General features: G+C 38.0%; 1 protein-coding gene across 29 annotated transcripts in view; it reads left to right on the top strand.

The window, feature by feature from the left end:
• The window catches only part of SYNE2 (spectrin repeat containing nuclear envelope protein 2), a 464854-nt gene that overhangs the window by 205429 nt on the left and 233688 nt on the right, over positions 1-25737 (top strand). For all 29 annotated transcript variants that reach the window (XM_047431152.1, XM_011536576.3, XM_047431149.1 and 26 more), the window contains 11 exons: positions 685-822; positions 9539-9703; positions 10881-10993; positions 11828-11990; positions 13630-13708; positions 13962-14149; positions 15606-15770; positions 16713-16862; positions 19432-19593; positions 23387-23545; positions 23918-24091. In XM_047431152.1, coding sequence (XP_047287108.1) covers positions 685-822; positions 9539-9703; positions 10881-10993; positions 11828-11990; positions 13630-13708; positions 13962-14149; positions 15606-15770; positions 16713-16862; positions 19432-19593; positions 23387-23545; positions 23918-24091 — 1656 coding nt within the window. The remainder of the gene's footprint in view (positions 1-684; positions 823-9538; positions 9704-10880; positions 10994-11827; positions 11991-13629; positions 13709-13961; positions 14150-15605; positions 15771-16712; positions 16863-19431; positions 19594-23386; positions 23546-23917; positions 24092-25737) is intronic.

Genomic DNA, 25737 nt, shown 5'->3' on the forward strand with positions numbered 1-25737 from the left:
CCAGCTAATTTCCGTATTTTTAGTAGAGACGGGGTTTCATCATGTTGGCCAGGATGGTCTCAATCTCTTGACCTCGTGATCCACCCACCTCTGCCTCCCAAAGTGCTGGGATTACAGGCATGAGCCACCGCGCCTGGCCTGATAACTCTTAAATACCCATATTTCACACAAATGTGAACCAAGAAAAAGCTTTACTTACTAAATATTTGAAGGCAAAGTGTTTCTCAAAGTTTATATAAAATGAATTGGGAAGAATAAGCTGAAGCTCAGTTATTCATGAACACTTTGAAAATCGCTTATATATGACTACTGCCGTCATATAATTTTCACATTCATTCATTCTTATTCTGTTGTGAGTGCATACTTGCGGAGAACAAACAAACTCATATTTTCCATGTAGCATCATGATCTGTCCTGTAGCCCAGTGACCTTGCTGCTCCATTCCAGTATAAATCCAACAATACACAAAGCACAGAGTGAGACCTATGACATTATGCTGGTGCCCAGTTATCACAGTGCACTGAAGAAGGAAACCAGAGCAGAGAGAGGATACTGGATTCAGGGGATTTTACCTTTAAGTAAAAACTTAAATATATCCTATACCTATAGACCTCAAAATAACAGATTATATGATATAAATGGAATTAAACATTTTCAATCTTTAAAATACTCTTCTAATTGCAGAGCCTGCTGTCCTTTATGGAGTCATTCAATGAAGAAAAAAAGTCCTTTTTGGATGTCCTGTCAATAAAACGGGATCTGGATGAGCTGGACAAGGATCATTTACAGTTGAGAGAAGCCTGGGATGGCCTCGATCACCAGGTGACTGTTTGTGTTGATTAGAAGAATATTTTCAGGCCAAAAGCAGTGGCTCACACCTGTAATCCCAGCACTTTGGGAGACCAAGGCGGGTGGATCACTTGAGGTCAGGAGTTTGATAGCAGCCTGGCCAACATGGCGAAACCCTGTCTCTACTAAAAATACAGAAATTAGCAGGGTGTGTTGGTGAGCACCTGTAATCCCAGCTACTCCAGAGGCTGAGGCAGGAGAATCACTTGAACCTGGGAGGCAGAGGTTGCAGTGAGCCGGGATCGTACCACTGCTCTCCAGCCTGGGTGACAGAATGAGACTCCGTCTCAAAAAAAAAAGAACATTTTCAAAGGGCAGCTTTGTTTTTTTGGATGAGGGCTTTATTTTAAACTTCCATGAGAAATTATGTAAAAGACAGTGTAGATGCTTCATCAGAAAATGGGATTGTGTTTTTATATTTTCTCCATGGCATCATTTGGGTAGTGGTCCTCTTTTAAGTAGGGATTTTTTGCATTCTGCTTAGAGAAAACGCAAGCTTATCCAAGCTTGATATATTTGCTATCAGTTCTTGGTTTGCCACAGTAGATTATCTATATTTTGATTGACCTGTGGCGGCTTCTCTACTATCATGTATCAATATCAGTAGATGCTTGAAAGAAGTAGGAACAAACCCACAGAGAGTAAGGATGAATTTGTGCATGTGTGTCTGAATATATCTGTATAATTTCAGTCCTTTTCAATTTATTGAGACATGGTTTATGGCCCAGCATATGGTACATAACTTTGTGCACTTGAAAAGAACACATATTCTGCAGTCATTGGGTATAATATTCTATAAATGTTAACTTTTAAAAAAATTCAATTTTTAATTTTTATGGGTACATAGTAGGTGTATATATTTATGGGGTACCTGAGATATTTTGGTACAGGCATGCAATGTGAAATAAACACATCTTGGAGAATGGGATATCCATTTCCTCCAGCATTTATCCTTTGATGTACAAACAATCCAGTTACACTCTTCAAGTTATTTTAAAATGTACAATTAAGTTATTATTGACTGTAGTCACCGTGTTGTGCTATCAAATAGTAGGTCTTATTTGTTCTTTCTATTTTTTTGTACCCATTAACCATCTCCATTTCCCCTTACTGCCCTTCCCAGCCTCTGGTAATCATCCTTCTACTGTCTGTCTCCATGAGTTAAACTGTTTTGATTTTTAGATTCCACAAATAAGTAAGAACATGTGATATTTGTCTTTCTGTGCCTAGCTTATTTCACTTGACATAGTGACTTCCACTTCCATCCACATTGTTGCAAATGACAGAATCTCATTCTTTTTTTTTTTTTTTTTTGAGATGGAGTCTTGCTCCGTTGCCCAGGCTAGAGTGCAATGGTGTGATCTCAGCTCATTGCAAACTCTGACTCCTGAGTTCAAGAGATTCTTCTGCCTCAGCTCCTGAATAGCTGGGATTACAGGTGCATGCCACCATGCCTGGCTAATTTTTTTTTTTTTTTTTTTTTTTTGAGATGGGGTCTTGTTCTGTCGCCATGCTGGAGTGCAGGGGTGCAATCTCGGCTCACTGCAACCCCTCCACCTCCTGGATTCAAGTGATTCTTTGCCTCAGCCTCCCGAGTAGCTGGGACTACAGGTGCATCCCACCACGCCCAGCTAATTTTTTGTATTTTTAATAGAGACGGAGTTTCACTGTTTTAGCCATGATGATCTCAATCTCCTGACCTCGTGATCCACCCGCCTCGGCCTCCCAAAGTGCTAGGATTACAGGCATGAGCCACTGTGCCCGGCCCTTATTTTTTTTATGGCTGAATAGTACTCCATTGTGTATATGTACCACGTTTTCTTTATCCATTCATCTGTTGATGGGCGATTACGTTGCTTCCAAATTACAAATATTAATTAATATAAGGTGGTTGATAATTTTCACATATAATGTTCACATTATCTGTGTCTTGACTGATGTTTTGTCCAATTCTATTATATTTTGCTGAGAGAGGAGTATTAAAATCTGTGGGAATCTGTCTTCAATGCTGTCAAATTTTGCTTCGTGTATTTTAAAACATTGTCATTGTGTGTACATGCTTATGATTACTTTGTCTTCCTGAGGACTTCTACCATTATGAAATATTCCTGCTTATCTTTAATAATACTGTTTTTCTTGACATCTAGTAATATTATACTTAATCTTATACCAGTATAGTCATTCCAGTCTTCTATGCTGACTGTATAGTACATCTTTTTCCTTCATGTACTTTTCATCTATTTGGAGTCTTTATATTCAAAGTGTATCTCTATAAATGACACCGTTGTATCTTGCTTTCTTACCTACTCTGCCAATCCCTGTCTTTTTTTTTTGAGATCGAATCTCACTCTGTTGTCCAGACTAGAGTGCACCAGCACAATCATGGCTTACTGCAGCCTCAGCCTCCTAGGCTCAAGCCATCCGCCTGTCTCAGCCTCCCAAGTAGCTGAGACAACTGGTGTGTGCCATCACACCTTTCAAAGTTTTAAATTTTTTGTAGAGATGGAGTTTTGCCATGTTGCCCATACTGGTCATGAACTCCTGGCTTCAAGCAATGCCCCTGAATTAGAATTTTGGGCCTCCCAAAGTGTTGGGATTACAGGCATGAACCACTGTGCCTAGCCTATCCCCTCTCTTTTAATTGTAGTGCTTAGTCCACTTAGTATAATTGTTGAAATAGTTCAATTTAGGTATATCATTTAACTCTTTGTTTTGTTTATTCTCTCTGCTTTTTCTATCTCTGTTTCTTCCTTTCTGTCTTTTTTCTTTTCTTTTTTCTTTTTTTTTTTTTTTTTTTTGAGATATAGTCTCTCTCTGTCTCCTGGGCTGGAGTGCAATGGTATGATCATGGCTCATTACAACCTCTGCCTCCGGGTTCGAGCGATTCTCCTGCCTCAGCCTACCGAGTAGCTGGGATTATAGGCATCCGCCACCATGCCTGGCTAATTTTTGTATTTTTATTAGAGACAGAGTTTCACCATGTTGGCCAGGCTGGTCTCGAACTCCTGACCTCAAGTGATCTGCCTGCCTTGACCTCCCAAAGTGCTGGTATTACAGACATGAGCCACTGTGCCTGGCCCCCGTTTCTCCCTTTTTTGCCTGGTTTTGGATCATACGTTTTTTAAGAATTCCATTTTAATTTGTTTATTGACTTGGCTCTACTTCTTCCTATCATGTTTTTAGTGGTTGCTCTAGGGATTATAATATACATTATAAAATTTTTACAGTCTACTTAGAGGTTTTTTGGTTTTTTTTTTTTTGAGACAGGGTCTTTGTCGTCCAGGCTGGAGTGCAGTGGCTTGATCACGGCTAACTGCAACCTCTGCTTCCCGAGCTCAGTCAATCCTCCCACCTCAGCTTTCTGAGTAGCTGGGACAACAGGCATGCATCACCATGCACACTTAATTTCTTTTGTATTTTTTTGCAGAGAAGGGGTTTCACTATGTTGCCCAGGCTGGTCTTGAACTCCTGGGCTCAAGGTATCCACTCGCCTTGGCCTACTGAAGTGCTGGGATTACAGATGTGAGCCACCACACCCACCCTTAGAGTTGTACAATATCTAAGTTATTGTACAACTTTTTGTAACATGTAGAAATCCTGCAAGCAAATTGATCCATCTCCCATTATTTATGCTATAGTGGTTTTATATATAAATATACATGACACATGTAATGTATGTCTTAAAATCCTCAGGACCATGTTATCATTTTTTTTTTTTTTGCTCTAAACAACCATATATTTTAAGGAAATTAAATGAAAAAATTAATCTTTTATATTTATCTAGGTATTTCCCATGTTCTTAATTTCTTTCTAGAGATCTGAGTTTCTATTGAGCTCAGTTCCCTTCAGCCTGAAAACTTCCTTTCACTTACTTTACAATACAGGGCTGTGAGTGACAAATTCACCTAGTTTTCTTTGATCTCTACATATGTCTTTATTTTGCCTTCATTAAAAAAATGACTTTATTGAGGAATAATTTATGTAACATCTCATTTTTAAATGGATAATGAAATGATTTTTAATACATTTATAGAGTTATGACAGGAACTGTGTGGTCCACAAGTCAAAGATACTTAATCTGGCTCTTCACAGGAAAAGTTTGCTGACCCTTTGCTTGGCTGTCAGGAGTGGCAGCCTGTTTTCAGAATACATTTTCCACACCATTTACTAAGTGTATTAAATAGCAGTCCAGTGGCTTAAAAGAGCCACTCTTTTAGACAACCTAATTTTGAAGAACTTGGAGCTCCTAGAATCTTCCCATCAGTGTGGTGCTTATTGCATTGTCAGTTTCTATTCTGATCACCGCTTTGAAACGGACTCTTGTGAAGGATAAGACCTGTCCGTGACAGGTCCTCACAAAGTGGAAGGCAATGAAGAAGATATTGTCTATATAGCTCAGGCTGTTCCAGGCCACAGAGACCTGGCCTGATTTTGTGAAATATGGAAAAATTGCCCAAATAATGAGAAAAACCATAAAAAGAACTATTTTACAAGATTAAGTACTGTAAATTTGGTAATAGCTTGAAAATCCATTCCTCAGTCAGGTAAACTGCAGCTCAGTTTCTTGGTGTGGCAAAATGAGACATTGCTAATTTTAAAGTCATTGAGGACATAAAAGTTGAAACCATGTATGCAGTTTCTGGTTCAATAGTTTGAGAACAGAGATTTCTCAGAGTATCATAGTAAATGGTTTCATACTGAGCCTACTGTAGAAAATAGCAACATTATGTTATTTTGACCTGTTAAGATCTTACATAAATTTTCAGCCAAATCAAAAAGTAATTACTGCAGAAGGGAAGTGTTAAGTGAGAAAGAAGAGGAACGAAAGGTAAACATTGCCTTCTGTTCTTCGTCTTCTGCCTGCTGTATAAATATTGAGTGTAGCCCTCAGTCGGAAAAAACAGGTTTGGTTTAATTCAAAATATATGCAGCTGTCTTTTGGTTGTGCAAAGAATAATAGTTGAACTAGAGGTATTGCTCTTAGCCTCTCTTTAACTCAATTATTTATCAAATTTCTGTTTTATCTTTTGGCAAATGTACAAGTAATTAGACACACTAAAAGTACATGCTAACTTGTTTATTTGAAAAGTCACAAAAATGGCTGGGCGCAGTGGCTCGTGACTGTAATCCCAGCACTTTGGGAGGCTGAGGCAGGCAGATCAGTTGACGTCAGGAGTTCAAGACTAGCCCTGGCCAACATGGCACATCCCTGTCTCTACTAAAAATACAAAAATTAGCCAAGCATGGTGGCACACACCTGTAATCCCAGCTACTCAGGAGGCTGTCAGGAGAATCGCTTGCACCTGGTAGGCGGAGGTTTCAGTGAGCCGAGATATGTATCTAGCCTGGGAGACAGAGTGAGACTCCGTCTCAAAACAAAAAGAAAAAAAATTTACGATAAAGAAATAACTTTTTTCATTTTTCTTTTATCTGGAGACATAATGGCAAATAGTTAATGATTTACGATTGTAGAATTGGCCAGGTGCAGTGGCTCACGCCTGTAATCCCAGCACTTTGGGAGGCCGAGGCGGGCGGATCACCTGAGGTCAGGAGTTCGAGACCAGCCTGGTCAACATGGTGAAACCTCGTCTCTACTAAAAACACAAAAATTAGCCAGGTGTGGTGGTGTGTGCCTGTAATCCCAGCAACTGGAGAGGCTGAGGCAGGAGAATTGCTTGAACCTGGGAGGTGGAGGTTGCAGTGAGCCAAGATTGCAGCACTACACTCCAGCCTGGGTAACACACCGAGAGTCCATCTCAAAAAAAAAAAAAAAAAAAAAAGGTTGTAGAATTATCTTTGCCATATGCCTTTTGAGAAAATTAAACTTGCAAGATAAAAACAAGCAAAACAAAATGGAAAAACTGTAACATCTAATGCTTTCATTTTATGCACAGTTCCATTTGACTGCCTTAAAGGAACCCAGCTTTGTCCTCATTTTGTATACCTGGGTACTTGGTTAAATATCTTTTAGATATTTGCTTTTGCATATGATGGGTACCCCATAAATGTTTTTGAATGAATTAATGTTGAAGTAATCTCTCTAATATACAAATTTTTGCCTGTTTAAAAAACAATAGAACTCAACTGGGCTCATGCCTGCAATCCCAGCAGTTTGGGAGGCCAAGGCAGGAGGATTGCTTGAGGCCAGGAGTTCAAGACCAGCCTGGGCAACATAGTGAGACCTTGTCTCTACAATAAAATAATAATTTTAAAAACCTCAAACAATAAAAACAGTGCATTTAGTAGAATTAGACTGGGTAACAGAAAGATAAAATACAGACTTAAGACCAGGACTTTTCATTAGAGAAAGTTGAGTGAAACAAATTTTAATTTGTGATTGATCTTCATATGAGTATCAAATAAATGAAAAGAGGCTTATTTGGCTCACGTTTCTGCTTCTGTACAAGAAGCGTGGCACCAGCATCTGCTTCTGGTGAGGGCCTTAGGCTACTTCCATTCATAGTGGAAGGCAAAGGGGAGCTTTTGTATAGAAATCACATGGCAAGAGAGGAAGCGAGAGCGAGAGAGACAGAGAGAGAAAGGAGGTGCCAGACTCTTTTCAGCAACCAGCACTCATGGGAACTCAGCTCCTGTTAGGCCCAGCCCCGATACTGGGTATCAAACTTAAACATGAGATTCAGAGGAGATAAACATTCAAACTGTACAGCAGTAAGTTTGTGTAAAAAGTCACATTCTTTTTTTTGAGATGGAGTCTCGCTCTGTTGCCCAGGCTGGAGTGCACTGGTGTGATCTTGGCTCACTGCAGCCTCCACCTCCTGGGTTCCAGCGATTCTCCTATTTCAGCCTCCTAGGTAGCTGGGACTACAGACATGATCCACCATGCCAGCATACATATATATACATATACATATATATATGTATATACGTGTGTGTGTATATATATATGTGTGTATATATATGTGTATATATGTGTATATATGTATATACATATGTATATAGACGTGTGTGTGTGTGTACATGTGTGTGTGTGTGTGTGTGTGTGTGTGTGTGTGTGTGTGTATATATATATATATATATATATATGTATCTTGAGACAGGGTCTCACTCTGTCGCCCAGGCTGGAGTACAGTGGTGCGATCTTGGCTCACTGCAACCTCCGCCTGCCTGGCTCTGTGACGTCACTTAACACACTTTCCTGTAACCATGTTCTTGGCTGCTTCTCTGGATAGGTGGTTCAGGCAAGAGCTGTGGCTTTTATTTATCTGGTTTACACTCTGACATAGGGGGTTGTATTAAATTGCTCTTCCATTCATACACGACACATGGAGCTGGGCAGGGCCCTGCTCTTGTTTTTATTCATTTGCTTAATTGTGTGTTGATTTCCTTTTATACTCACCTTCTTTCCATTCTCCTTTCTCCTTGAGCCACAATTTTGATATCTTTAATGTGTTTCTTTTCGTTTTATGTTTTTGCATAATATAGATTGAATTTATGTGTATTATTTTGTTTTGTTTTTGAGACAGGGTCTTACTCTGTCATCCAGGCTGGAGTGCAGTGGCATGATCATGGCTCACTGTAGCCTTGACCTCCTGGGCTCAAGTGATCCTCCCACCTCAGTCTCTTGAGTAGCTGAGACTATAGGTGTGCACCACCACTCCTGGCTAATTTTTGTATTTTTAGTAGAGATGGGGTTTTTCCCATGTTGCCCAAGCTGGTCTTGAACTCCTGTGCTCAACTGATCCGCCTGCCTTGGCTTCTTGAGGTGCTGGGTTTATAGTTGTGAGCTACTGCACCCAACCTGTACATGTATTTTTAAGTTGTGTACCCTTCAGATTATATGTTGTTTCTTTTTATTTTTGAACACAGTGTATTTTAAGGTGCTTCCATGTTGGCATTTGAGCATCTAATTTTCGCCTAACTGCTGCATAGCATTAAATGATGGGTAACCATCACATGGTCCTTCTCCACACCAGAAGCTTTCTGTATCTTTATCTCCAGCTCTTAGCACAATAGGTTGTTCATAAATGTTTGGCCAATGAGTAAATGAATGAACGTGTGAGTGAGTTTTGTCAGCGCTTGCCGGGGGGACATCCAGGTAGCAGGGGCAGTGAGAATGAAGACACAAGAGTACAGCGAGTATTTGGAGAAGCAAGCAGTCAGAGTGTGTTTCTCACATGCTTGTGCATGCAGGGAGTGGTGGGAGGCTGAAGAAGGAGGAGATGTACTTGGATTTGGGGATGGGTGGTGCTTTCGTGAAGGACAGATATTCGGGAGATATGGTAGAGATATGTCATGTGGATATACAGTTAGGGCTAGAGAGGGAAGAAGTTATAAATCTGTATGAAAGATGTAGTGTCAGAGCACACAAGGACATACGGCATTTCAAATGATGGTCATTCAGTAGGTTAGTCTATCCTTGCTTAGAGGTGTGCTTTTAATCTTTTGAATTTCCTCCATATCTTATTGTGGATTTATCAAAACGTTTGTTTTTTCTTATGCCTTCTTTTCCTACAGCTTTTGAACAAATTATATTCCTGGTGAGCAAGTAGCTAAGTGATATTTAAAACTAAGAAATTTACCCATTGATGAAGATTTCCATGATAATTGATCACATTTATCAGACTTGGCTTCCAGAGAAACTTCAAAGAATCAAACATACTGTATGTGAAGAAATAAACTAGAAAAGTTCTACTGAAGAATATGTTCTTTTTTTTTTTTTTTTTTTCAGATTAATGCATGGAAAATAAAGCTAAATTATGCCTTGCCCCCACCCCTCCATCAAACTGAAGCTTGGCTCCAGGAGGTAGAAGAGCTTATGGATGAAGATTTGTCAGCCTCCCAGGATCACTCTCAAGCCGTGACTCTGATACAAGAGAAAATGACTTTATTCAAGGTTGGAAAAGAAAAAAAAGAGATGTAGGAAAATACATATTTTGTTAGGGATTGTTCTTGAGGAAGACTTTGTCCTAAAAAGAAGAGAAGGATAATAGTGGATATTTGAGGATGGTTTAGAATGATTCCTCTGGGGATTTTTGGGACCTAGAATGTAACTTTACCTTCATGACCATTGTGTTAGTTTAAGATTGAAACAATTAGGATAGAATCTAAATAAGGATAGAGTTCTAAAGCAACTATAAATAAAGTCTTACCAAAAAAAAAAGGTCAAGGGGTGGGAGGGTGGAGAAGGGGGAGCCTGATTTAAAATTTGAGGGTCTGGGTTCTCACTAAAATGGCATGAAAAAAATTATGTGAGATTTATGGTATTTGAGCCTACAAAGGAATGGAAAATACACCAATAAATAAAAGATTGTAATAATGGTTTTACTAAAGAAACTACGGTCTGCCTCTCTGTAAAATGTTCAGATTTAAAACATTTATGATGAAAATTTTTTTTTTGAGACAGAGTCTTGCTCTGTCGTCCAGGCTGGAGTGCAGTGGCGCGATCTTGGCTCACTGCAAGCACCGCCTCCTGGGTTCACACCATTCTCCTGCCTCAGCCTCCCGAGTAGCTGGGACTACAGGTGCCCACTACCACACCCGGCTAATTTTTTGTATTTTTAGTAGAGATGGGGTTTCACCGTGTCAGCCAGGATGGTCTCAAGCTCCTGACCTTGTGATCTGCCCACCTCGGCCTCCCATAGTGCTGGGATTACAGGCGTGAGCCACCACGCCCAGCCAAAAATATTTATTCACAAAATCTTAGTTAAAGGGGGTAGTTTCATCCTAGGCAATATAGCAAGACCCCACCTCTACAGAAATTTTTTTAAAAAACAAAATTAGCTGGGTATTGTGCTCTGCATCTGTAGACCCAGCTACTCAGGAAGCTGAGGTGAGAGGATCCCTTGAATCCAGGAATTCCAGGCTGCAGTGAGCTATGATCATGCCACTGCACTCCAGCCTGGGTAACAGAGCGAGACCCTGTGTCTTAAAACAATAAAAAAAAGGTGGGTTGTGGGGAGGGTTTTATGATTTTTTTTTGAAAAAAGATGTAATGCAAGTGAGATTGACAAACCCTTAATTACAGTGTTTGGCAATAAGTATCGTTTATGTCATGCTGAATTTCTTTTCAGAGCCTGATGGATAGATTTGAGCATCATTCGAACATTCTCCTTACCTTTGAAAATAAGGATGAAAATCACTTGCCATTGGTACCACCTAACAAATTGGAGGAAATGAAAAGACGGTGTGTAACACTACCATTTCACAGCTGCTGTCACTATTCACGTTTGAGTAACAACTGATACTACAGGGACCACAAAATACAGATTTTTAGATAATTTTTACCAAGTATTCTCCTTTAAATCTTGATAACAGTATCTTCACGTTTTATGTAGTAGTAACATTATAGGTAGTATGCCAACATACCTCCTTTTTTATTGAATGGTAGAATATGGTGATGGAAAACATTCAGAAACTGAGCTCTGTATCTTGGTTTTGGGTAAGTTACTCTCTTTTTGAGCATGTTTCCACCTTTGTAAATTTAGGTTAATGATAATTGCCCTGTCCAGGTCTCACCAGGAAACTGGATCAAATGGGAGGAGGGATATGAAAGCACTTTACAAACTGTAAAATACTACAAATATTGAGATTATTTAATTCATTATCTTTTCTTATTACTCAAAAACAACTTATTAGAATAATAAGAGGGTGTTAGCATTAATAATGAAAACTTTTAATATATAAACTTAGATTATAGTTTTATTAAGTTATGTGGAAGTTTTCAGATTTAGTAAACTATTTCATAGATCAGCATTTTATTACAGGATTTGTCAGTCGGAGAATAGTTTATTCAGAAAATGTTCTGTTTTTGATGTTTTTACCTTAGAAATGGTTGTTGTATACCTAGTCACAGTATTCGTTTTACAATGTTTAAAAAAGAAAAAGACAATGATACATCTGAGTTCCATGTGCTTAAAAGAAAAAGTTAAAGCCTCAATATTTTTTAAAATGCTGAACAGATTTCTCACATTTGGTCAATAATATTAAGTTAAATTCCAAAACCTGCACTGTTTTCCAGAATCAACAACATTTTGGAGAAAAAATTTATTCTACTTCTAGAATTTCATTACTACAAGTGCTTAGTTCTTGGTTTGGTAGATGAAGTGAAATCAAAATTGGATATTTGGAACATTAAATATGGGAGCAGAGAATCTGTGGAATTATTGCTGGAAGACTGGCATGTAAGCTTTTCAATTTTGTGTCTTAGGCAACTCCTCCATCTCTGGGTGCTGTGTTTGCATTTTTCCTTGGCATGATTTCCCATTAACTCTTCGGGTTTTGAGATGGGTTTTCTTGGTAGATTTCATTAGCTTAAATATTGCATGGAGAAAAGAATTACAGGGAGTCAACCAGCAGCACAGGAAAGAGTAAAAATATAGAAAATATCACTACTTACTACCCAAGGGGAGATTAAGAGTTAACCAGGTCTATTAATGTAATATAAAAGGTTTCCATGCTTTTTTTCATTAAAAATTCCGCTTTCACTTACTTGAAATGTTAATTTTTGTTTCCTTTTCAGATTCATAGTTTCATGCAGTAATTACATTTTTCTTATAACATTTTGATCTTAGCTTACTAAATTTTACTAACTAGGATAAACAATACATTTTCTCTTTTGTCATGAGGCTTTCCTTTTGGGTTTAGCTCTTCTAATTTATAGGAAAAAATGTTTGAAGTGACTTGCATGTAAGTGTGTTCACATCTAAGTTAAAACTACAGCATCACAGAAATGTCAATTCTACATTTAGACTTTGTCCTTCTTTTTGTTTCCCTCCTTTTAGAGATGAGGTGGGGTGGGGCTGGGCGCGGTGGCGCACACCTGTAATCCCAACACATTGGGAGGCCAAGGCAGGTGGATTGCCTGAGGTCAGGAGTTCGAGACATGGCGAAACCCTGTCTCTACTAAAAATACAAAAATTAGCTGGGCGTGGTTGTAGGCACCTGTAATACCAGCTACTTGGGAGGCTGAGGCAGGAGCATCACTTGAACCCTGGGAGGTGGAGGTTGCAGTTAGCCAAGATTGTGGCACTGCACTGCACTCCAGCCTGGGCGACAGAGCAAGACTTTGTCTTAAAAAAGAAAAATAGAAATGAGGGGGGGAAGGAAAAATCCAAGATTGTAAATTTTATTGTAAAAATTTAAAAAAATGATAAAGAGAAATTTACTTCCAGTTTATGACTTAAACACTCTAAGTTTCCAAACAGGAAGCATCATTCTAAACTAGGCTAGATTTTGAGTATTTCTATTTCTTTTTCCTTGCTTGAATTTTCATTTTTCTATTTAAATATTCATACTATTGGCACACATAAGTATACAGTAAATAGGAATTTTGAATTAGCTTAGTATTTTTTCCATAACAGAATTTGGTTAATGGTAGTTTCTGAAATGTTTTTGTGTGATGGATATCTTTTTGTAACGTACGCTAATATATCTAAAAAGATTACTCAGTATTAATAAAGCATGTGAAATAAGAGCAGCTGACACAATTATGTAATATTAAGGAAATGTGCAAAGTAGGAGATCCTGAAATTAAATACCTAACTTGCCTTTTTTCCACAAGAGGAAAACTACTATAGCACCATGTCACCACATTAAGATCAATTTTATCAGATGTCAGACCTATTTAATGTTCACACTCAGCTTATGTCTCCTAGATTTTCACCATCCTTCTTCCTGTTTTCCTACCAAATATGTAGTATTAAAGCCCTAAAGAAATTTGGTAACTCTGTCCTTCGTTGAATGGCTGTATCTCACTATCTGGATTTCTTGGCACAATTTTAAAAGTAAAAACTGTCAATATGTTTTTTGTTTTCTTCCCAGAAATTTATTGAAGAAAAAGAATTCCTAGCTCGACTTGATACTTCTTTTCAAAAATGTGGAGAAATTTATAAGAATTTGGGTAAAGTGGTTCAGTTACTTTCTGATGGAATGACTGTCACTTAACAGTGATGTTTTATCTGTTGTGCTTTCTATATAATGTTTTAGAAATTAGTTTTATGTGCATGTTTTCCTGGGAAAATTCTTGCTTTCACTTTTAATATTGTCAGAGTACATATTATTTTGCCGCTGTCAATTAATATGCAAATATTTTTAAATAGTATTAATAAAAAATTGTTTTCTAAGATTACTTTTTTGTTTTGTTAATATTGTAGCTGGAGAATGTCAGAATATTAATAAACAGTATATGATGGTGAAATCTGATGTTTGTATGTATAGAAAAAATATATATAATGTGAAGTCCACTCTACAAAAAGTGCTGGCATGTTGGGCTACTTATGTGGAAAACCTTCGCTTACTAAGGGCTTGCTTTGAGGAGACAAAGAAGGAAGAAATTAAAGAGGTATTTGCAGTCTAATAGCATCTGCTCAATTTTATTTTTTAATTGTTTTATTTTGTGACCCTCATTTTCAATCCAAAGATGAGAAAACAGAGAAGAGTACACCAGTGTTTTGGAAAATTCTTCAAGGTCTTGGAAAGAATTTAGTTTCTTCCTGATATAATTGCCAAGAGGTAGTTTTCTCCACTGGTTTATATATACATGGTCAAACACGCACATACACGCCCCCCTCTTCCCACACATAGAGCTTTCTTAAGGTATAATTTACATACAGAGTAATAGCTTTTGGGAGATGTTTTGCTAAGCTCTTTGGAGAGGAAATAAGACTTAATGTACTGGCTAGCTTATAGACACAGTTAAAATAAACTACTGTTCAGAAAGTTTTATTTTTCCATTTGGTTGAAACCTTTCAGCTCTAAAATCTTCCTGAGTTTCTATAGGAGGAAAATCAAGATACCGTAACTTATGTGTAGAGGTGTGGAAGAACTGTCAATGTAATTCATTATTGTTTTCATGTGTTATTTATGTAATAATCTGTTCTATGATTATCTGAGGTGGTTTTTCTTTCTTTCATTTGTTTTTCTCTGTTGCAGATGGCTATAGATAGCCTTTCAGATTAAACATTTCCAAAATAGAAACTAAAATTAATAGAAAATAGATTATTTGTGTTAATGTAAAATTTGTGATAACGGTAAGAGTGCAAAAAAGAGCATTTTACGGGTTGAGTCATCACTTCTGTTACCTGTATTAGCACTAGAAATTCAAATCTTCGTCTTCCAACAGTCTTTCTGTCTTTAAAGATCTTCTATAAAAATGTACATAACTCAGAGAAAAACACGCTAAGGTTGTAATACCCAAAACTGCTAAGAAACCCTGAGCTACCAGAGAGAACTAAGAGAACTTACAGAACACTCTAAAATTTGAAGGAGACACAACAACATCCATCTGTTGGACACCATGCTGCTACTAAGTTGTTGAACCTGACTACTAAAAATGGGAACTGTTAGATAATATTTCTGGTCTAGGGACTCTCCGAAAAAATTAATGAGACAGTTAAGGCTCCATGAACTAAACAAGTTTGGAAACCACTGCTGTAAGTTCATCAGCCATGTAGAAAGAGATAAGATGCATCATAAAAGTTCAGGACCAGGAGTGATGACAGACAGCTGGCATTTGCCAGTTAGCACTTAAGAGGGAAGAGCTAGACCAACAGGGATGGCAGACTCCTCTAAGGGGAAAGTCAGTCTCTGCAAAGAATGTTGCTTAGAATTAGTCTTGGTGCGGAGGTTGCAATGACCTTGATTGCGCCACTGCACTCCAGCCTGGGCAACAGAGCAAGACTCCATCTCAAAAAAAAAAAAAAAAAAGAAAAGAAAAAAGCCTTGGTGAACATTGATTATACATAATAGAAAGACAATATCGTGTCATTAAGATAGTGTGTTGCTTGTGTATCATGTAGGTACCCTTTGAGACACTAGCCCAGTGGAATCTAGAACACGCTACTTTAAATGAAGCAGGAAATTTCTTAGTCGAAGTCAGCAATGATGTGGTTGGATCATCTATTTCTAAAGAACTGAGAAGGCTGAATAAAAGATGGAGAAAGTTGGTTTCAAAAACTCAACTTGTAAGTTCTTTTGATTGGTTGCAGCTTTATTTAGATATGATTCATGTACCACACAATTTACTCATTGTAAGTTCATAACCAATTGATTTCTGGTATATGCACAGTTACGTAGCCATTACCATAAAAAATTTAGAACATTTTTATTACTTCATAAGGAAACCCTAGCAGTCACTCCCTATTTTCTTCCAACCCCCACCCCCTAAGCCCTACACAACCATGAATCCACTGTCTTTCTATAGATTAGCCTATTCTGGACATTTCACATAATGAAATCATATAATATGTGATGTCTTGTGACTGGCTTTTGTTACTTGGCATAATATTTTTAAGGTTCATCTGTATTATAGAATGTAATCGTACTTCATTCCTTTTTATTGGCAAATAATAATTCATTGTATGGATATACCACATTTTGTTTATCCGTTCTCTAGTTTATACACATTTGAGTTCTTTTAACTTTTTGGGTTTTTATGAACAATGCAGCTGTGGACATTCATATGGACACATGTTTTCTTTGAGTGTATGCTCAAGAGAGCTTTCAGTTCTTGAATCTTTCTTGAGTATATGCCTGAGAGATCTTTTAATTCTTGAACCCTTTTTACTGTAGAGCTTTCTAGTTGAAATTCACTTACCATGAAGGAAAAACAAGCATTGTTTTGCCTACTAGATTTTCAGCTCATTGAGAACATACACTGAGCCTTATGTATCTTTATATGTAGCATAGTGCCTCATAAAAGCAGACTTTTTATAAAATATTTTTTCAACTGATTCTTAACAATTTGAGATGTAGGTGTTTTATGTGAAATGCTCATATTTTATAACACTGTTGTAGTTTAATCCTAAACATATATTTGAATATATTACATCCACTTACTGTTTGTAATGTATATTAGCATAAAATAAAAATATGAGTATTACATTTCATGAAATTATTTTGTATAGGAAATGAACCTGCCACTGATGATAAAAAAACAGGATCAGCCCACTTTTGACAATTCTGGAAATATTCTATCTAAAGAAGAGAAAGCAACTGTTGAGTTTTCAACAGATATGTCAGTAGAACTTCCTGAAAATTATAATCAAAATATAAAGGTAAAATAATCATACTTTGTATATTTCACTTGCAAATAGAAATAATTTAACTTTGCTATTAAAAAAAAGATATTGCCGGGCACGGTGGCTCATGCCTGTAATCCCAGCACTTTGGGAGGACAAAACAGGTGGATGGCTTGAACTCAGGAGTTCGAAATCAGCCTGGGTAACGTGGCAAAACCCTGTCTATACCAAAAATACGAAAGATTAGCTGGACGTGTGTTTGTGCGCCTGTGGTTCTAGCTACTTGGCAGGCTGAGGTGGGAGGATTGCTTGAGCCTGGGAGCTGGAAGTTGAAAGTGAGGCGAGATCGTGCCACTGCACTCCAGCCTGGGTGACAGAGTAAGACTCCCGTCTCAAAAAAAGAAAGAAAAGATATTGTTGAGTTGGTGGTAAATGTGTGGATTGCTAGATAACATTTAAAGTATGGTCATTTCCTAGGAAAATGCTTAAATGTTTTCCCTTATGAAGTCTTTAGCATGAAAGTCTTACTTATTACACTTACTGTGCTCTCACAGACACACAGAGCAGTCCTGATTCTGAGCAGTGTAAATTGAGTTGTTATTTTCTTGAGATTACTTCTGACTAGTGCACAGAAATTGGCTACCTTTAGGCTAGCCCCTGGCCTCTGTGTGTCTTGCTTCCTTTCTGTAAAATGGGGGAAAATATTCTATTTCTTCCTTGTTTTGTTGGGTAATTTGGAGGATGACTTTAGAGTCATCCTACCAAGTATGGGAAAAGAACAAAAAATAAATTAAAAATCATATACTTGTAAGATATAATACCTATGGCTTTGGAAATGCTCCACCTTCATGATAACTTACACAGCTTTACTTAAACTACTTTTAAACTGGCTCAGACCTACTGGCATGATGGAGTGCCAGCATTTTCCTACTGTAAGAATACCTACTTAGAAAATCTGGAAAGATCTGAATTTTTGCAGTGTGCTTAAAATACTAGAGTCTTCTGATACATTTAAAATGTAATCTGACCAGGCAAGGTGGCTTATGCCTTCAATTCTAGCACTTTGGGAGGCTGAGGCAAGAGGATTGCTTGAGCTCAAGTTCGAGACCAACCTGGGCAACGTAGTGAAACCCTATCTCTATTTAAAATAAATAAAATAAATAAAACAGTGATCTGATTAAAAACAACTTTCAGAATGTATCTTTCGGCTGGGAGCGGTGGCTCATGCCAGCACTTTGGAAGGCCAAGGCAGGCAGATCATTTGAGGTCAGGAGTTTGAGACCAGCCTGGCCAACGTGGTGAAACCCCGTATTTACTAAAAATACAAAAATTAGCTGGGAGTGGTGGCGGGTGCTTGTAATCCCAGCTTCTTGGGAGGCTGAGGCAGGAGACTTGCTTGAACCCGGGAGGCGGAGGTTGCCGTGAGCCAAGATTGCACCACCGCACTCCAGCCTGGGTGACAGACCGAGGCTCCATCTCAAAAAAAAAAAAAAAAAAAGAGTGTATCTGTGTACTCCATAAATATAAGCCATTATAATTTGTCAATATATAGTTTAAGAAATAATGTATCTATCATGTAAAGCTATAGTATGTCAACCTATAGATTATTAATGGGAAAAAGATTTAATTTTGTTGAAATTTGATTTGAGTTTCTTCTTGATATTTTACAACTACCATTACTAAGAGCTATATTTGTTTAAATCGCATATGAGTTTTAGAAATGTGTTTATAGTCACCCTAATTTACTAAACTTTAATCTTCTTACATGTAAAATGTATAAAATATTATCTGATAGGAATGATATTATAATTAAGTAAGAAACCGTGAACAAACTTTTTAAAAATTTGCAAAGTGATATATACTATTTTGAAGTGTTATCATTGGCCAGGCATAGTGTCTCATACCTGTAATCCCAGCTCTTTGGGAGGTTGAGATGGGACTTAAGCCCAGGAGTTCAAGATCAGCCTGGGCAACACAGTGAGACCCCATCTCTACAAAATATAAAAACTTAGCTAGACGTAGTGGCATACACCTGTAATTCCAGCCACTCAGGAGGCTGAGGTAGGAGGATCACTTGAGCCTGGGAGGTTGAGGCTGCAATGAGCTGTGATTGTGCCACTGTACTCCAGCCTGGGCAATAAAGCGAGACCTCATATAGAAGAAAAAAGTTATTATTGTCAAAGAACTACATCTTATGTCATTAAAATATGTTTAATTAGCACTCTTCAGGAAAGAAAGTGGTGTAACTTTTTTATCTTTTATTTTTGAAGACAGGGTCTTGCTTTGTTGCCCAGGCTGGAATGCAGTGGCATGATCATAGCTCACTGTAGCCCCAAACTCCTGGGTTTAGGCAATTCGCTTGCCTCAGCCTCCTGAGTAGCTAGAACTACAGGCATGCACCATTATGCCCAGCTAACTTTAAAATTTTTTGTAGAGATGAGGTCCCGCTTTGTTGCCCAGACTGGTCACAAACTCCTAGCCTCAAGCAATCCTCCTGCCCTGGCCTCCTAAAGAGCTGGGATTACAGGTGTAACTTTTTGAAAAGGAAAATTATTTTGTTATGTACATGCTGACATTTTCTCAGTGGTACTTTTGAATGTTGTAGGCTGGAGAGAAACATGAAAAAGAAAATGAAGAATTCACAGGGCAACTAAAAGTGGCTAAAGATGTTGAAAAACTCATTGGACAAGTGGAAATCTGGGAGGCAGAAGCCAAATCTGTTTTGGATCAAGATGATGTGGACACCTCAATGGAAGAATCTTTGAAGGTATGTGTGTAAAAGTATTAAGAGGGTACTTTCATGGTTGTGCATTTATGTTTTAAGTTAAATAAGAAGTTTTAAAGTAAGTAGTAATAAGCCTACAGTTTTAATTTTCTTTGTTGGGAGTTTTAAAAATGAATGGATTTTATCCCTGGATCATTTGCTGTTATTTTGCTTGAAAGCAGAGGATAGATTAGGAGACCACTGATAATACCTATGAATGTTAAGCTCTTGGACTTATTTTCTTAGCTATAACATGGGGGTTAAAATATTTTCTTGCACCAGAGGACAATGAGGAGACGAGTGAGTTCAGTCTCATTATAGCTCAGTGCAGAGTACACGTAAGAGATAATATAATCAGGCTGGGCGCGGTGGCTCACACCTGCAATCCCAGCACTTTGGGCGGTTGAAGTGGGTGGATCACAAGGTCAAGAGATAGAGACCATCCTGGCCAATATGGTGAAATCCCGTCTCTACTGAAAATACAAAAAATTAGCTGGACGTGGTGGCGCGCACGCCTGTAGTCCCAGCTCCTCGGGAGGCTGAGGCAGGAGAAATTGCTTGAACCCAGGAGGCGGAGGTTGCAGTGAGCCGAGATTGCACCACCGCACTCCAGCCTGGCGACAGGGTGAGACTCCTTCTGGGAAAAAAAAAAAAAGAAATCATACAATCTATGCTTTGAAAGTTCACCCTCTGATGAAGCCACTCTCCTTTCCTTACTCAATGCAGGGAGAGTGACTCATGTTGTTAGATCTCCATTCTGTCTTTATTCTCAGGCAGTCAACTCATTGAAAGGCAGTGAGGCAAGAGTGTGTCTTAATATCACTTAGTTCTCCTGGGAGTTATCATTGAGGTTTTTACTGAGTTCCAGCTCAGCTGTAAAACCTACAGAGCATAAGTTACAACAAGATGGGAAGTTCCTGGAATAAAAAGGAACATTTATATAATTTTTTAAGCCTACATTTCTGAAAGGTGTATATTTCAGCATTTTGTGTTTTCATTGTGTGATAGTTTTTATTGCTTTGAAAATATTATATAAATCTATCATGCCATCTCATCTGCCAGTGCTTTTCTGATTTTATTTTTAGTATTTATTTACTCTATCTGGAATTTATTTTCTTGAAAAAAATGAGGTAGAAATTAAATATTTAAAAATTTTTTAAATAATTTAAAAATTTTAGTGAACATACAAGCACACTGAAATATATTTCTATTAAGAAAGAATTAAGTAGATATTCATTGGATCAAAATATTGGATCAAGATGTATTCTAAAGTAAGAAATGAAAGTTCCTAAACTGTGTGGATAATGAGATAATGTAATCTCATTTGTGGTTTTTAAACAGAGTTGTATTTTTATATGTAATACATTTATATTCATAGAAAAATATCTGTAAAGATATACCTGTAACTGAGTCTATCTTAATCCTGTGTTATGCTCAGCTCCTAGTACATGGTAGACATAAAATAAATATTTTCTTTCCTTTTTTTTGAGACAGGGTTCTGCTCTGTCACCCAGGCTGGAGTACAGTGGCACAACCATGGCTCACTCGACCTCCCCAGGTTCAAGTGATCCTTCCACTTCAGCCTCCCAAGTAGCTGGGATTACAGGCATGCGCCATCACGCCCAGCTAATTCTTATATTTTTAGTAGAGATAGGGTTTTGCTGTATTGCCCAGGCAGGCCTTGAACTCCTGGGCTCAAGTGATTTGCCCGCCTCAGCCCCTCAAAGTGCTGGGATTGTAGGCGTGAGCCACCGTGCCCAGCTATAAATATTTTCTCTACATGCTGTACCTTTCTATTGTTTTTCAGTTTTTTTTAATTACATGAGCTTTTTTGTTGGTTTTATAATTTAAAAGAGGGAAAAACTGAAATGATAAATGAACATGCTAATTTCAAAAAAATTGAAATCACTGTGATTCCACTGCCCCAAGACAAATAAGATCAACATTTACATAGTTGATATCACATACTATAACTTCTATTTTATCATACCCATGTATATTAGTTTGTTTTCACCCTGCTGTTAAAGATATACCTGAGACTGGGCAATTGACAAAAGAAAGAGTTTTAATGGACTTACAGTTCCACGTGTGTGGGAAGGCCTCACAATCATGGTGGAGGGTGAAAGTCATGTCTATGTGGTGGCAGACAAGAGCAGAGGGCTTGTGCAGGGAAACTCCCCTTTATATAATCATCAGATCTCGTGAAACTTATTCACTATTTTGAGAACAGCACAGGAAAGATCTGCCCTCATGATTCAATTACCTCTCACCGGGTGTCTCTCACAACTCGTGGGAATTCAAGATGAGATTTGGGTGGGGACACAGCCAAACCATATCACCATGCCACTGTGAGTTGTAATTAAAAAATTATTTTTTGCTAACTTGAGAAGTGAAAAGTGGTATCTCACTTATTGTTTTAATGGGTACTTATTTGACTACATGTAATATTGAACTATCATATTTATTAGACATCTGTTTCTATGAATTATCTGTTCTTAGATTTTCAAAATTTTCTTTGGGATCTTGGCATTTTTAAAATTGAATTATACAAGCTCTTTGAATTGTGATCCATTTTCATTTCTGTGTCAAATATTTTTGCTGAGTTGTTGACTTTGTTTATTTTATTTTGCATTGCAGGTTTTTTATATTTATGCAGTCATGTCTATCCCTACTCTTAGGCTTCGAAAGACCCTCTGCAGCGAGATAGCAGATCAGATTTTATTTTATTTTATTATTTTTTTGAGACAGAGTCTCGTTCTGTTGCCCAGGCTGGAGTGCAGTGGTGCAGTCTTGGCTCACTACAATCTCTACCTCCCAGGTTCAAGAGATTCTTCTACCTCAGCCTGCCAAGTAGCTGGGACTATAGGCGCCCGCCACCACACCTGGCTAATTTTTGTATTTTTAGTAGAGGCTGGGTTTCACCATGTTGGCCAGGCTGACCTCAAACTCCTGACCTCAACTGATCTACCCACCTCAGCCTCCCAAAGTGCTGGTATTACAGGCATGAGCCACCGGCAGTTTTATTTTATTTCATTTATTTTATTGTATTTTTTGAGATGGAGTTTCACTCTTGTCACCCAGGCTGGAGTTCAGGAGCACAGTCTTGGCTCACTGCAACCTCTGCCTCCTGGGTTCAAGCAGTTCTCCTGCCTCAGTCTCCCGAGTAACTGGGACTACAGGCGTGTGCCACCATGACCAGCTAATTTTGTATTTTTAGTAGAGATGGGGTTTCACCATGTTGGCCAGGGTGGTCTCGAACTCCTGACCTCAGGTGATCAGCCCACTTCAGCCTCCCAAAGTGCTAGGATTACAGGCGTGAGCCACTGTGCCTGGCCGCAGCTTGGTTTTTATGGATAATGTCTTCTTTTTGTGGTTTCATATTTCTGACCCATTTGAAATTTATTTTTGTTATGATATATAAAGATTATTTTCCAACAGCTATTTTCCCCAGTAACATTTATTGAATTCTCCTCTCCACTACTTTGACATAGAACAAGATCATTTTAATATTTATTACCATTGTCTCAAGTTTCTTTCTATTGTCATTGTATTACTTTCATTCTTTATTTTATTGAAGTGCTTACTGTATAAAGAATGATCCATAAAACATGTTCAGAATCTGATTGTATCAATATGAAATTTCAAAATGACTCCTTAAAATATCATTTTTCAGAATGCAAATTTGCCTGATTTTGGATTAATAATGAACTTTTTTGGTTTCCTGAGATTGTTTTGATTAATGTTTAGCATATAATCAGAATGTTTATTGTGATCTCACTTCAATTTGTTTTAATAGCATCTTATTGCCAAAGGCTCTATGTTTGATGAGCTTATGGCAAGAAGTGAAGATATGTTACAAATGGATATACAAAATATTTCAAGCCAGGAGTCCTTTCAACATGTTCTCACAACTGGGCTTCAGGCAAAGATTCAAGAAGCTAAAGAGAAAGTCCAGGTCTCTCTTTAATATTCCCTATTTAGTAATTCTGTTCTCTAAAACTGAGGGGTCACTGAGTGGGCAGTGAAGGGGGGTGATAGCCCTGTAGCTTGGAAATGTTTTGTAAAATATTACTTTTGCATTATGTTTTATTTCTTTATAATTTAAAGCGTATCAGAAAATATAAGTATCATAAGTATCATAGTATATAAGTATCAATTTGGATAGATATCTAAATTTAGATAGATTTATAATTTAGATAGATTTATCATAATTTAGATAGATATCTAAATATCTTTGTCTAGTGGGAAAATAACAAAGTATTTGTTAACTTAAGAATTTATTAAGAATTGGTCCCCGTGTTAATTTGAGAATTTTTTTGTCTTCAAGATCAATGTGGTAAAACTCATTGCAGCGTTGAAGAACTTAACTGACGTTTCACCAGATTTGGACATCAGGCTGAAGATGGAAGAATCCCAGAAGGAACTTGAATCATATATGATGAGGGCTCAGCAGTTACTGGGGCAAAGAGAGAGCCCCGGTGAACTCATTTCAAAACACAAGGTGGGAATCTTTTCAACCATCAAATGTAGGACATTATTGTTAACTGCCTATCTTGTTTGAAATCAAGATGTTTCCTTCACTGTAATTATATACTGAGTTACTGTAACTTAAAAAGAATTTCCCAGTATTCTATATTGTTCCCCTGAGGTTATTAAACGTAAGTATTCAAGTATAGAATTTTTTTATTCAAATTTTATTGTGGATCTGCTGAATGTACTCAGTGATACGGTGTAAAGAGTGCAGCCGACTCTATGACATTGAACAAGAATTTAATTTCTCTGGCTTTTTAATTTGTAAAATTGGCATAATAATTCCAGCCCTATCCAGCTGTCGGATTTGTTGTGAGGCTTTAAGTGAAAATAAGGTACGTGAAGTTACTTTGCATACATTCTCTGAATGTAAAAAAAACCATTATTATTAAAATACTTTGATAAAAGTTATTCATGGAAGCATACTTTTCTATAGTTAAAGACCCAATAATGTTTTGTATGGAGACAGTTTCAGGTTGATTTTTATGGTTTGATAGGCTGAGGTTGCAGCTTAAGATGTCACCAAACCAGAGACTCACTATTAATTAACATGGTGGGAGGTGCTTGGGGGATTAGAAGCAAAGCTAAATGCCTCTACCTTGGAGCAAATTGGAGAGGTAGAGTAATACTTTTTTTCATTCATATTCAGCATTTAGCACACTTTATTGAACACTTATAATGAGCTGGGCATTTAGGGGAAATAAAGATGCAGGAAGGCATTGCCCCATTCCTGCGCCTACTCTTTATGAAAGGGCGCCCTATAGGAGTCTCTCTTCATTCTCATCACGGCCTCTGTCTGTCTTCTGGGCCTCAACCCTGTTTTGGCCTACTGGATTTGCTAACCACGCTGGGGCCCTGTTGTCAGTCATTTCAGCATTGCTTTTCCTATGACCTTAGTAGCCCTTGTCTGCTTGATCTCACGCCGTTTGAATTTTGCTAGCTGCCACCTTCAACCACTTCCCTCTGTTTTTTATTTTCACTTTTACTCCTAGGTTCCTGAAAGTACTAAATTGACCTTAAGAATGAATGCTTGTTTTAAACGATGGTGAGGCTGGATTCTAGGTGGGTAGAGATGGTCTGGTCAGGAAAAAGAGAAGGAAAAAAAAAATAGAGGGTCCTAGTCTCCCTCTTTGAATTTTTATTTTTCTTAGAGACAGGGTCTCACTCTGTCACCCAGGCTGGAGTTCAGTGGTGCTGTCTCAGCTCACTGCAGCCTCCAACTCCTGGGCTCAAGCTATCCTCCTGCCTCAGCCTCCAAGTAGCTGGTACTACAGGCAAACACCACTACGCCCAGCTAATTTAAAAAAATTTTTTTTATAGAGAAAGGGTCTCACTCTGTTGGTCAAGGCTGGTCTCAAACTCCTGGCCTCAAGTGATCCTCCCATGTCGGTCTCCCAAAGTGCTGGGATTATGGACGTGAGCCACTGTGCCCAGCTTCTTGGCTCCTTTACCAGAGAAGGGCTGGAGGTGTCAGTTTTCACACCATTTTCCTCTCCCTGACCTTCTTCCTTTTGGTTTTCCCCCATTTTGCCAATGGCATTTAGTCAAGTGGATACACTCTCACAACAGAAGCAAGATCCCTGCCCTGGTAGGCATGCACACATGGGCAGTGGGAGC

The sequence above is a fragment of the Homo sapiens genome, chromosome 14, assembly GCF_000001405.40.
Source record: "Homo sapiens chromosome 14, GRCh38.p14 Primary Assembly".
Classification (NCBI taxonomy): domain Eukaryota; kingdom Metazoa; phylum Chordata; class Mammalia; order Primates; family Hominidae; genus Homo; species Homo sapiens.